Source organism: Homo sapiens, chromosome 9 (assembly GCF_000001405.40).
Source record: "Homo sapiens chromosome 9, GRCh38.p14 Primary Assembly".
Taxonomy (NCBI): Eukaryota; Metazoa; Chordata; class Mammalia; order Primates; family Hominidae; genus Homo; species Homo sapiens.
In genome coordinates, this window is record NC_000009.12 from 38,940,850 (window position 1) to 38,954,566 (window position 13,717).

Below are 13,717 nucleotides of genomic sequence, written 5' to 3' on the forward strand. Positions count from 1 at the left end.
AAAAAAAATACAAAAGTTAGCTGGGCATGGTGGCACATGCCTGTAGTTCCAACTACTTGGGAGGCTGAGGCAGGAGAATTGCTTGAACCTGGGAGGCAGAGGTTGCAGTGAGCCAAGATTGCGTCACTGCGCTCCAGCCTGGGCGACAGAGCAAGACTTCATCTCAAAAAAATAAAAATAAAAATAAAAATAAGTGTTTCTGGAGCATAGAAAATGGCATTTACATACTAAAATGTAATTTCTACAAATCCAAAATATTTTAAGTCATATTTTAATTTGTTTACATAGCTTTAGAGGTTAATATAGAAAAAATATATACCTAGACATTTTTGAAAAATAAAATTTTATTGTTGAGAATAATTTTTATTTGAACTAAATGCTTTGAAATGCTCAAAAGCTTTTGTGTGTTATGGTGGTTATGGTATGTGTGTATGTGTATATCTAAATTGTATAAAGGAGTGTGAGGAGTGTGAGTCAGTCAACTAACACAAAGTATTTTTTCTTGTTTTTGATATCAAAGCTATAATAATTCAGTAATAAATATCACGACTGTATGTCAATCCTCTAAAATTTGTTTTATTTGGGAAACAGTGAACATGTGTAGGAAATACGATTTTTGTATTACATGTTCTCACTCAGGTGGATGCTAAAGAGGTTCTCACTCATGTGGATGCTAAAGATGCTCACGGAGGTAGAGAGTAGAATGATAGATACGAGAGGCTGGGAAGGGCACGTGGGTCAGGGGGATGGGATAATGAGGGGAGGTTGGTCAATGGGTATCACCATACAGTTAGAAGGAATACATTCTAGGGTTCAATCACAGAAATATTAGTAGGGTGACTATAGTTAATAATGATGTATTGTATATTTCAAAAACAGCTAGAAGAAAGGACTTGAAATGTTTCCAACACATGGAAATGATAAAAGGTGGTGGACACCCCAAATACCCTGACTTCATTACTACACATTCCATGCATGCAATGAAATATCATATTTATGTACCCCATAAATATGTACAAATATTATGCATCAATTTAAAAAGAAAATACAGTTTTGGGTAATTGAGTAAAACAATTTTTTTCAAATTTTGTTTTGGCTTAGTGAGAATTGATTAAAAGCATTCATCAAGATGTAGTGCTTATCTATTTTAATTTAGCCACACATTTACTATTATTTGGATAATTATGCTTGTGACAATTTAAGTGGTCATACCAGAACAGTCGAGAAGTGGAGAGATCTTATACCTAGTTCAATGATTTGTTTAGTTTTTTGCTTCAGAACATGTCTTTCAGATGAAATGTCACCTGCAAGTTGGATGAATAAAGCAGCCTGAAGCAGACATTCTTGGGGCAGGAAGGGTGCTGGGGCCTGGACTCTTCTACCAACCCCTACTCTCCCTGCGGCAGGTGATGTGCTGGGTCTGAGGAGCAGCTTCCTGTGGCAGTAGCCCTGGTGCACACTGTCACAGAGACAATCTCTCCCTCTCAGTGACGTGGCCGCTGCGGGGCCCAGCTGTCAGGACTCAGCCCATGGCTTGTTAAGTTTTCTTATTTAAAACGTGCTTTTTAAAATCGAGTTTAAATATAGGCTCCTTGTAATTACCTAGTTAAATAACCTGACATTAGTAATCTTGTATCCGCCAAGATACCTGACATGTTAACGTGACTTACGTCTAAAGTGCAGTGATGAAAAATGTAGTTTGTTCTGCACTTGCTCTAACATATGTGCCACTCCTGGAATATAGATACGAATTGGGAAATGGAACATTATTCATGTAATAGATATTACATTCAAGTTAAAACTGCATGCACGTAAGTAGAGTATGCACAGGCTCTAAAGGCCGGAAGCAAATAAAGAAACATAATGTTGTCAAAGAGATCTCCAGTCTTAAAAAGCAAGAAAATGATGTGGACACACCAATGAGTAAAAATACGAAACAAAATAAAATAGAGGATGGGGTTTCTTTTTACTTGGAGGAAAGGGGTGAAAGCACACAGAAGACTACAGAAAGTGAGAATGTTTATTTTTATTTTGTTTTATTTTATTTTATTTTATTTTTGAGGAGTCTTGCTCTGTCGCTCAGGCTGGAGTGCAAAGGTGCAATCTTGGCCCATTGAAACCTCCGTCTCCCAGGTTCAAGTGATTCTCCTGCTTCAGCCTCCCAAGTAGCTGGGATTACAGGCACCCTCCATGACACCCAGCTAATTTTGTATTTTTAGTAGAGATGGGGTTTCACCATCTTAGCCAGCCTGGTCTCGAACTCCTGACCTGGTGATTCACCAGACTTGGCCTCCCAAAGTGCTGGGATAACAGACGTGAGCCGCTGCGCCCGGCCGAGAATGTTTACTTTTAAAACTGAATCGGTACATTCATGCTCATTATGTTGTCATTGTATGTCGGTTGTATAGATTTTATGAATATTATTTTGTATCTATGCCTACTTGCCTCCCTTTCAGAGTTACATATGCTATGTAAACTAATAAAAATACTGCTTAAAATATTTCGGATTTGTAGAAACTACATCTGAGTATGTAAATGCAACTTCCCATGCTCCAGAATGTTTCTAAATTGGTTAGGTTTGCGCCTTTTTGCATTTTATATAAATGGAAGCATGTTGCATGTACTCTCATGCAGCCTTACTTCTTTCATGCAGTATTATGTTCCTGATTTTCATGTACATTGTTTCTCACAGCTGCAATGTATTCTTTTTCTCTACTCTATGGTATTCCATTGGGTGCATATCCATGATTTATTGATCCATTCTGTGGATAATGTACTCTGAATTATTTTTGTTCATTTGATTAGACAGATTAAAACAATATTTCAGTAAATATCTATGTATGGTGCCTTCCGATTCTACAAGTCTACTCCAAGATACAAAACTAAGAGAGGCAAATTTGAGTGGTAGAGTATGTATATTTTCTGTTATTTGAATGAAAATAATAAATATTGTATTCAAAGGTGGTTGTGGCAATGGATACTCCCTCAACAACGTGTGTCTCTAGGTTGCTCCACATCCTTGGCAAATCTTAATGCCATCCACCTTTTCAATGTTTGCCAATCGGGTGGGTTCCTGATCAGAAAAGAAGTTAATTGTGAGATTTCATTATCAATACAATAAACCGGTGGTCACCAACCAAATCTCATAATTGAGGAGGGAGATGGTTCTAATTTCACTGAGATACAATTCATACCAACGTTCTAAAAAAAAAAAGCACATTTTGTGAATGCAAGACATTGGTAGGTTTATTGTCAGAGATCTTATAAGGGAGGACAAGAGCTGTTTCAGTTACTTGAAAGAGTCTCAGACTGTACATGGTTCATCTGTGGTTTTCTTCAATTAAGAGCATTTTGCCAGTCACATTTTGACTCAAAAAACTCTGTGGTACCCATCAAATGAGTAACATACACACATGCACACACACAGGCACACACACACTTATCCTATAAGAAAGGTACTCTACCTGTAATCCCAGCACTTTGGGAGGCTGGGGTGGGTGGATCACGAGGTCAGGAGATTGAGACCATCCTAGCTAACATGGTGAAACCCCATCTCTACTAAAAATATGAAACTTTAGCTGGGCGTGGTGGCGGGCGCCTGTAGTCCCAGCTACTCCGGAGGCTGAGGCAGGAGAATGGCATGAACCCGGGAGGTGGAGCTTGCAGTGAGCCCAGATTGCGCCACTGCACTCCAGCCTGGGCGACAGAGCGAGACTCCATCTCAAAAAAAAAAAAAAAAAAAAAAAAAAGAATGGTACTCTATTATCATTTGGGTTTGCAGAAGGTTGTTTGGCTAGACTTGAGAATCTAACAAATACTCTTGAGAGGGGCTTTGGTATAAGGACATAGAGCCTGAATTCAAAGAAAACAGCTCTGGTTCTGTCACTTGCTAGCTTTGTGACTTTGTGAAATTATTTTCTCTATATATCTCAGGTTCTATCTTATTAAAGTAGAGATACCTTTGCTTACCATGAAGGGTTCCTGGACAATTGCAGAAGATATAAATGTGAACGCTTAACATAGTGATAGACTTAATAAACCGTGTTATTGCTATTATGTGAGGGCTTAAAGTAAAAGTTGCAGGCACAAGAAAACATCCCCAAAGCACTGAATCATGAATGTGAAAATAGGAAACTAGTCCGGAGATTACTAGAAATGACTGATTTCAGGCCAGTGACTTTCTACCATATTAGGCCTCATGACCTTTGGTTATTCAGGTTTGCAGGCTTCCATTTGACCTTGTAAGTTTCCAAAAGCAGAAGTAGTCTTGGCTTCTCTTTCTGGCAACTGGCATAACTTTCCTAAGAGACAATTTTATTTGAGGAAAGAAAAGAACTCTTATCTGAGAAATGCAAGTCCTTTTAATTATCAGGCCCAAAGAGAGATTAAAATGAGGCAGCAGTCACGTCCTCCTCCCTGCTTTGAGCTCTGTATTCCTCTCTTGGAACTGCTTGCTTTTGCCACCAGCAGCTGTAAATTAACTTAATAATGCCACACCCTACAGCTTAAGGATGTATAGCGAATCATTAATCAATGTTATTTCTGTAAAGCAGTAAGGATTCCTGACAAACCAGTTTGTATCAGCCCACTCCCTGTCCCCCATTTTTTGTCTTTATAAACCTACTTGTAACTGCTGCTAAATGGAATGTATATGGTGGCAACTTCAATCTTATGCTCCTGGGTTGCAATCTTAAGCTTGGCCCAAATAAACTCCATTGATACTAATTTTGCCTCAGCTTCCTCCTTCTAGGTCAACACATTTCTTGCTCTGAGCCACTCTCAAGGTGTTTTATTTTTTATTTCATTTTACTTTTTTTTGGAGACAGAGTCTCGCTGTAACCCCCAGGCTGGAGTTCAGTGGCACCATCTTGGCTCACTGCAACCTCTACCTCCAGGGTTCAAGCAATTCTCCTGCCTCAGCCTCCCAAGTAGCTGGGTTTACTGGCTCCTACCAATATGCCCAGCTAACTTTTGTATTTTTAGTAGAGGCGGGGTTTCGCCATGTTGGCCAGGCTGGTCTTCAACTCCTGACCTCAGGTGATCCACCCACCTTGGCCTCCCAAAGTGCTAGGATTACAGGTGTGAGCCACGGCGCCTGGCCATCTCAAGGTGTTTTAAAACTTAGGTTTCATTGCTATGCAGGTATAGTGAGGCCAAAAGATCAGGAGATGAAGGCACTTCAAAAGACAGCTTGTTACTCACAGTTGAGGGGGTGGTTACTCACAGTTATGGTTGGGGGAGTGGGGTAGAGGAACTCCATGCCACACAGGGCCACCTGGGGAAGCACCAGGTTGGTCGGGAGGCAGAGGGAGCAGGAAGAAAATGTGGGCTCTTGGGCTCTAGCCTGTATTGTGATTTCTGTGGGAAAGAATGAGTGAGGCAAGGTAAGCAGATTTAGCATTGGCTATTTGAATAATTTCGCTGGGCCCTGGGGTATAGAGGCTGTCCAGAGTTGTCTGGTTCCTGTCTCTCAGATGACTTGGGGCAGAGGAATATTGATTGGATGTCTGCGCGTGATAAAAGAAAGAGTTGAGGGCTCTGGGCTGTGGGTCGTCTGGTTTGCATATGAAAGGCGTGCTTCTGGGCCATGTTTGCTATTTCTAGGAGTGAGCTTTACCCTCTACAGTCAGTGAGGGCCAAATGCCAGAGCACCAAGAATATAGAAATAAGAAACTACAATTAATACACAAGGTACCAATGTAATATTGGGTTTTCATTGCATAACCCATTTATTCATTTATTTACTCTCACCGATTATTCTTTCTTTTCTCCAGTTATCAGTTAGTTTTATTTTTTTTTATTTTTTTTTTGAGACAGAGTCTCACTATGTCACGCAGGCTGGAGTGCAGTGGCTCCATCTCGGCTCACTGCAACCTCTACCTCCCGGGTTCAAGCAATTCTCCTGCCTCAGGCTCCCGAGTAGCTGGGACTACAGGCACCCGACACCATGCCTGGCTAATTTTTGTACTTTTAGTAGAGACGGGGTTTCACCGTGTTAGCCAGGATGGTCTCGATACCCTGACCTCGTGATCTGCCTTGCCTTGGCCTCCCAAACTGCTGGGATTACAGGCATGAGCCACCACGCCCAGCCAGTTAGTTTTAATTTTCTACCTTCGGAAGGGATGTTAGGTGAGGCCCCCGTGCTGGTTCAGATTGCCAGAAGCAACACTAGTGTAGCAAGTGCCTCTCCGTCCATTCCCATGCCCATGGGGCAGGGTTACATAGGTACAGAACCAGCGGGCTGTCTCGACCACTAGGCAGTACAGCAGAATTCCCTGTCAATTCCAGCCTTGTCAGACAGGGTGAAGGTAAAATCTGCTCTACCAGTTTCTTAGAAATTGTGACATCAAAGTTTAAAAGTATAGTTACAGATTCTTGTTTCAGGGGCATTCCTGTTTGTGGCACCTGCAGTTGCAGCCATTGTCCCAGAACACGGCATCAGGTAGGAAAAAGGAAAGGTGAAGTGATGTGGGGAATAATTTAAAAAGCACTGTTGAACTGGTATCTTCTCACTGTGGGAAACATTGTATAGCCATACCAGCCTCTTCACCTACCTCCCCTTCTCCAGGTCCCCCAGAAAGGAGACGAATCGCGCAAGGGGAGATGTGCCCTTGGTACCCCTCATGTTCAGTGTGACCACACACTCAGAGGCATACGAGTTAGCTCTTCATGCTTTTCTGTCTCCTGGTGTTAAGTAACCCATGTTTCAACTGCCCATCCCAATTCTCTATGAACTTATTACTCTGAGAATAATAGCTCTATAAAATGTGTTCCATAGGCTGAAGAAATGTGACTCAATGGCTCAAATCGGTGAATTTATTAAGTTATAATAAATAAAAGTGTATGGCTAACATGTTGAAAGAAATGTTAATGACTTCACTGAAAAAGACCCACATAAATGACGGCAACAGACTTAGATCTTGCCACATATTTTATTTAATGTTTTATCTGCCAGCACACACAGCTACAGATAAAACTTGGATGCAGTAAGATATAACGTCATGAAATCGTATGAAAAGGAAGACAGAAATTAGTCACATAAATGATACTCAACAATGGGTTGTATGATTAACTGGTTTAGAGTGGGTCTTAGGACTTTCAAAAAGAGTTGAAAAATAGGTAGAAAACTGAAGGAAAAAATGTAAATATATTTTGTGGGCAAAGCTATCGAGGTCGTAGGATTAAAGAAGATGGGGCTGGCCCGGGGCAGTGGCTCACGCCTGTAATCCCAGCTCTTTGGGAGGCCGAGGCGGGTGGATCACGAGGTCAGGAGATCGAGACCATCCTGGCTAACACGGTGAAACCCCGTCTCTACTAAAAATACAAAAATAAAATTAGCCGGGCATGGTGGCGGGCGCCTGTAGTCCCAGCTACTCCGGAGGCTGAGGCGGGAGAATGGTGTGAACCCAGGAGGCGGAGCTTGCAGTGAGCCGAGATCGCGCCACCGCACTCCAGCCAGCCTGGGCGACAAAGTGAGACTCCGTCTCAAAAAAAAGAAGAAGATGGGGCTGAACTGCCAAATACAATTATGTTGTGTTCCTTTTTCTAGGAAGTCTGTGGACAGTGATTTTTAAGTTAAACCAACAACACTGTGGTTAATAATAATTGTCAGCAAGATCTTTTCTGCAGCATCATTGTATCTGATCTCTTCTCAATAAAAAAATTGTTTCCTACATCAGTTTCTCTTTATTTCTCCCTATCCTTCAGAGTGAAAATTTCTTCTTCCTCTCTTTCCAAGACAAGTCCTGCCACCGGAGCAATGTCACACTTTCTCCTCTCAGAATAATTTGTGATTTTTCAAATATTTATGGAATACCTACTATGGAGGTCTGTCACGTGCTGGGCACTGTGATAGGCACCTATGGATGGGATTCTGTGCTGCAAAGTAATGTACAGGATGTAGAGGGGAGAAAATCATTTACGTAAATAGCTGTAACCCAGAACAGAAAGGGGCAGCTGACATAAAGACACACAGAATGTGCGGGTTATAAGTGCCTGTTTATGGGGGCAGTTGCAGGAACTGAGGTTTGATTATGGGCAAGATATGGACAAAGGCATGTTCTATGGCCATGCCATGAAAACAAAGGGGCAGAGGCGTGCATACAAATCTGGAGGCAGCTGCTCCAACTCCTAAATAGTGTAACCGAACAGCCCTGCCTGAAAAAGCACTTTAAAACTTCTTTCTCCTTTTTCCTTTCTTCCCAGTCTCAAGTTGAAACCTTGAAACAATCTCTAGAAATGTTTTTCCTTAGTCTTAAAATATAGCCTTGAAAGATACTTTGAAACCCTACTTCCTTCCGTTTCTCACCATGTTTTCCTTTACCCCAGGTGCATTTATCTAGCTTTATGCTTGTATACCCCACACACATTTATCTAGTTTATTTAAGCACGTAACGTATCTAATTATGTTCTTATTTAGAAGTTCCAGGGCCTAACGTTACGACAGACCAAGCGGCAGGGCGCCGTAGCTCATGCCTGTAATCCCAGCACTTTGGGAGGCCGAGGTGGGTGGATCACGAGGTCAGGAGATCGAGATCATCCTGGCTAACACGGTGAAACCCCGTTTCTACTAAAAATACAAAAAATTAGCCGGGCGTGGTGGCGGGCGCCTGTAGTCCCAGCTACTGGGGAGGCTGAGGCAGGAGAATGGCGTGAACCCGGGAGGCGGAGCTTGCAGTGAGCCGAGATCGCGCCACTGCACTCCAGCCTGGGCGACAGAGCGAGACTCCGTCTCAAAAAAAAAAAAAAAAAAAAAGACAGACCAAGCATGGAGACTCCGCTGCAAAGTCCCAGTGATGACCTCAAGGTGGCTGTCAACAACTCGTCAATTGTTGAGATGACAGCAACCTGCCCTTCAAGTGGACCACAGCTTGAAATAGGCACCAGAACAAGACAGCAGACCTTGTGCAATGCACTCTCCCACGGGCCTCCCATTCCAATTTCCCCTTTTTAAGCCTTTCTCCCCAGCCTAAAGTTTTAAGAGGTTTCTGGAGGCGTAAGGTAAGCAGCCTGCTTCCCTGCTGCTAGCTTTGGAAACAAAGTAACTTTCCTTTCACTACAGACTTCCTCCTTGTTACTGACTTTGCAAGCGGTGGGCAGCTGAGTCTGCACTGGGTTACATCGGGGCGGGGGGGGGTGGGGGGGTGGTGTGTGTGTGTGTGTGTCTCGTGTGTGTGTGTGTGTGTGTGTGTGTCTGAAACCAGTGTTTCTCAGCTTGATCATCAGGGTTGCTAAAAAATATTTGGTAGGAATGAAGTAGACTTTTAAAAGATGAAAGCATATATTAACTTAGATGCATCTTGTTTACCTCGATATCTTAACACCTCTCATGGTGCCCAGCATACAATAGGTTCTCAGCAAATGTATACAGAGAGTACATGGATGGATGGATGGGTGGATGGATGAATACAGAATTGAATAACTTAATATTCTTTTCACTAGATACATTTTTTAACAAAATACTTTCTCCTTTTACATAGGATTCTATTTATGTTTAATGAACAAAAAAATTAGTTTCAATGAAAACTTTATTTGAAATGATGAATTCAAGCTGTTACCAGCCTCCCAAGTAAGATGCCAGAGACTTCAAACACTGCTGTTGTTTCTCAAGGAAAAGATCCAGTTAACAAGGAATCATTCTCTCTTCTTCAATAGCTGCTTACGGTAAATAAAATCTCTTCCTCCTTTTAATATTTTACATAAGAGAACATTTTAAAATTGTATTAAAAAAAAAAAACATGAGAAAGAATGATAGCCTTAAGTGAGTTAAGTGAGTTTTCTCACTGCGCTTATAGCCCTTCCCAATTTTGTGTTCTGTATATTTAGGATGGCTGGTGGGTGGGAAGGCCAGGAGCCAGAGGTGTACCACAGCTGCTGTGCCTGCCAAAGAACAAGCAGGTGTTCTGGTTTTTTGTTCGTATTCTTTAAGGTCAGTGAACTGGCTGGTTTCCATTTCTCATCTTAGCCTACGTCGTTCTTAAAGGTTCTGTCTCACAAGGAAATTGTTCAAGAGCTTAACCAAGCAAGTGTGGCTATCCCAAGTGAAATGGAGAAATAGACCAGCATCCCTCATGAGCCAGGCTCAGTCCTCACTTTTACCATCAAATATTGACATTATGAATGTTATTGTTTCTCTATAAAGCATCTGCACAAATTCCATGTTTTAATATATTAGTTCGGTGTTTCTCATTATTTGGAAATCAGGCCTTTTTTGATAAGCATGTCAGAAAATAGCAGAATCAGAAACAATATCAGATATATCAAGAGCAGGAGAGTGACAATGGGCAGAGCTTCTTTCCAGGCTTTGGGAGTAGTTGACAATAGGCTAGCTGAAAGATTAAAAAAGAAAGTTAATGATGGGTCACCTTAAGGGAGCTGGTAAACTAGTTGTGAGGTAAAATAAAGAGGTCTGGGACCAGAGAAATAGCAGAAAGAATGGGACTGATCTAGGATAGAAGTAAAATCTAAATTAAAAGAAAAAAACAAATTACGGCTCTGATTCCTTCTCTGGGGAGACTTCAATGTGTGCTTGTCAAAGTGAGGTTTTTTTTTTTTTTCTGTTATAGATAGTTAAAAGTGCAGGGGAAAAGAGGTATCTTTTCCTCAGCCATTGCTAGGTTCATGGCTGAGGCCCCTATAACAAAAGACAAATTGACAAGAGAAAAGCATAAAACCTACTAATAAGTTTTACATGACATGACTTCATGAAAAATAAAGAACTAAAGAAGTAGAAAACCTGTGTATTGACCTGGCGCGGTGGCTCATGCTTGTAATCCCAGCACTTTGGGAGGCCGAGGTGGGCAGATCACAAGGTCAGGAGATCCAGACCATCCTGGCTAACACGGTGAAACCCTGTCTCTACTAAAAATACAAAAAATTAGCCGGGCGTGGTGGCGGGCGCCTGTAGTCCCAGCTACTCGGGAGGCTGAGGCAGGAGAATGGCATGAACCCGGGAGGCGGAGCTTGCAGTGAGCCGAGATCGCGCCACTGCTCTCCAGCCTGGGTGACTGAGCAAGACTCCATCCCAAAAACAAACAAACAAACAAACAAAAAAAAACGTGTATTTCTTATGCTACATTTGATGTACAGTCATGAAGAAATATAACTGGACAAGGTGGGTAGACCTCATGGTAACACACTGAAGGAAACTTAGCAAGGCTTTTGTGCAGGTTCTTCTCTGTGTCCCTGTGTCTTCGGAGATAAGGATGCTCCTTTCCTCTGGGTATAGGGAGAACCTCTCAAATAAGAGTCCTATGACCTGCTTCAGGAGAAGGTCAGAAAATCCATCCTAGGTTTTAGGACATGCTTTTAGGAAGGAGGATCAGGGACAGTCATAGAGTGATATTTCTTCTTCAGTTTCCTCAAATGTCAAGGTACCATATTTTATGGTAACATAACTGAACCCAATTAAAAGAAATTAGCATGTTACTTTTTGAGGGGGAAGGCTCTGACTGAGCTAACATGTTATGGGTTTTGTAGGGGTGAAAAAGCAATACCTTTTCCTCACCCATCACAAGGGTCATGGCTGACACCTTGATAACAAAAGACAGATTAACAAGAGAAAAGCATAAAAATTTATTTAACTGAAGTTTTGCATGGCACAGGAGGTTTCAGAAATGAAGATCTAGAGAAAAGCGTGTACTTGTATGCTTAGGTTTGATATAGAATAAACAGTCATGTAGAACTATGATTGGATGAAAGGGTGTGACATAATGGTAATAAACTGGGGGGAACTTAGAAAGGTCTCTTGTTCAGATTCTCCTTGGCCTTTCTGAGTAGCATTCCTTCCCCCTGGGAATGGGGCAGGGCTCCTATGGAGTGAGGGTCTTACAACTTAATTTCAGGTGAGGAAGGTCAGAGAAATCGTTTATAACTATGTTTTACACAGAAAGGTGGGAGGAGGTCAGAGTGACTTTCTTGTTCTGCAGTTTCCTCGAATGCCAAGGCACCATATTTGGAGGTATCGTGTTCTGGTCCCCAGCAAGTTATATGGGGTACTGTGCATTTGTTGCCCCTACATAGTTTTCAATATATGCTAATTCATGGGTGCGGCAGAGCATAGACCGTACATGCTCTGTTTCTGGGAACCTGTTGCTCAATCTCTAAAGTTGGCTCATTCATCTTGCATGTAAAATGAGAATATAAATCTCATTTAAAAAAAAAGTCTCGAGCTAAGAGATGATTCACGCATAAGATTCAGCACACTGTCTGGTACAGAGTAAGTGCTTTCCAAAATGAACATTATGTTAGATATAATTTCCAAAACACACACTCTTGTGTATTAAGTCATTGGCAAACATACCCAAGCTTCTTGGCTCACTGATATGATGGACTCTGCGATTCACATCCTGAGAAGGGTGTGGGCATCACATGCACAATGCGGCTCATCACAGAGGATTTTTCCAGAACATAAATGCTACACATCCCTCCCTATGAGAAGATTCACATTTCTTTCTTTTGAATGAGAGGAGAAATTCTACACAATAGAAATAGTAATTTGAATGAGAGAATATACCTTTGAATTCACAATTCAGGCAGACTGTATTCTTTGTCTTCTTGAAGACAAGAATAGTTCTTAATTTTTTTTTCTCAATTTTGAAGAGCATGAAGTTTAGGAAAAAAATATGTGTAAGTGGTTGTTGACAAGTGTTCTAACCCTCTTAAGATATTATTCATTGCCAAAATGGAAAGCGTTTAAGTGAATATCCTTCCCAAGGATTCTGAAATGCCCCCTGAGAAGAGGGCAACAATTGTTTTGGGGCTCTTTCTGTAAAGGGGAGTATGTGACAACAAGGAGGCTGGTCCTGTGTGCTTCCTATGGTGGCATGAGCATATGCATTCTCTAAAATATAATCATAGGTGTATATACACGTATATATGCATGTGTGTATTGTGTGTGTGTATTTCTCTACATATTCTTTTAAATATTGTTCTCAACTATATATAATATTCTATAATCCATTGTGGACCTCTACAAATAATCAGTTAAAGTGTTGCTTAATAGCTACATGATCACAAAGGTCAGAAACCCAGTCAGGACCAAATCATGTAGAGTCTTAGAGGCCACCACTAGGAATTTGTATGTCATTCAAAGTGGCCGGGGAGCATTTCAAGAGCTTTGAAGCATGGGAGTGATATGATCTGATTTACATTTTCAAAAGATCACTCTCGATGTTTGTAGGCGGAGTTGGGGGATATAAACTCCTCAGGGGGCCACTACATCCCACTACAGACGATGCTGGCTCAGAGCCCAGAGTCTGGTTTAGAGCTGGTGAGACATGGATTGTATTCAGAAGGTAGAACAGCTGTGAGGACCAGGAGAGAGGAAAGAGAAACAATGATAAGTTTCTGGCTTGAGGATTTGAGTAGATGGCCATTTCATTAACTGAGATAGAAAAGACAGGAGGATGAGCAGTCGGGGTTGGATCTGACTGGCTTTGCATTTCTGTGGGGCTGTTGGGGAGGGAACAACAGTGTCACCAGTGCTCTCTACCCACCTGTCACTCAAGGTGGGTGAGACGTCTTCTTGAACTTAATTTAGGCTCCTGCCTTTGTGCTTCTTGGGGTTAAATGTGTAGAAGCCCTTCGAACGTATTAAAAGGACGGTGCAAAGATTAGACAGGGCCTCTTTGGAGGCCCTGCCTGACTTGCATTAGCTTTGATTAGGCTGTGTTCATTGCCAAAGCTTGTGGCCACATGCTTATTATTCTGCATTTAC

General features: G+C 41.7%; 1 long non-coding RNA gene across 3 annotated transcripts in view; it reads left to right on the forward strand.

Annotated features, from left to right (window-relative positions):
• The first annotated feature begins 8,788 nt into the window (after positions 1-8,788).
• The window catches only part of LOC124902157 (uncharacterized), a 49,126-nt gene continuing 44,197 nt past the window's right edge, over positions 8,789-13,717 (forward strand). For 2 of the 3 annotated variants that reach the window (XR_007061491.1, XR_007061493.1), the window contains exons 1-2: positions 8,789-9,000; positions 9,480-9,663. This is a non-coding gene — a long non-coding RNA (uncharacterized LOC124902157). Of the gene's footprint in view, positions 9,001-9,157; positions 9,245-9,479; positions 9,664-13,717 lie in introns of those variants that run through there. The other variant, XR_007061492.1, reaches the window with a different exon arrangement.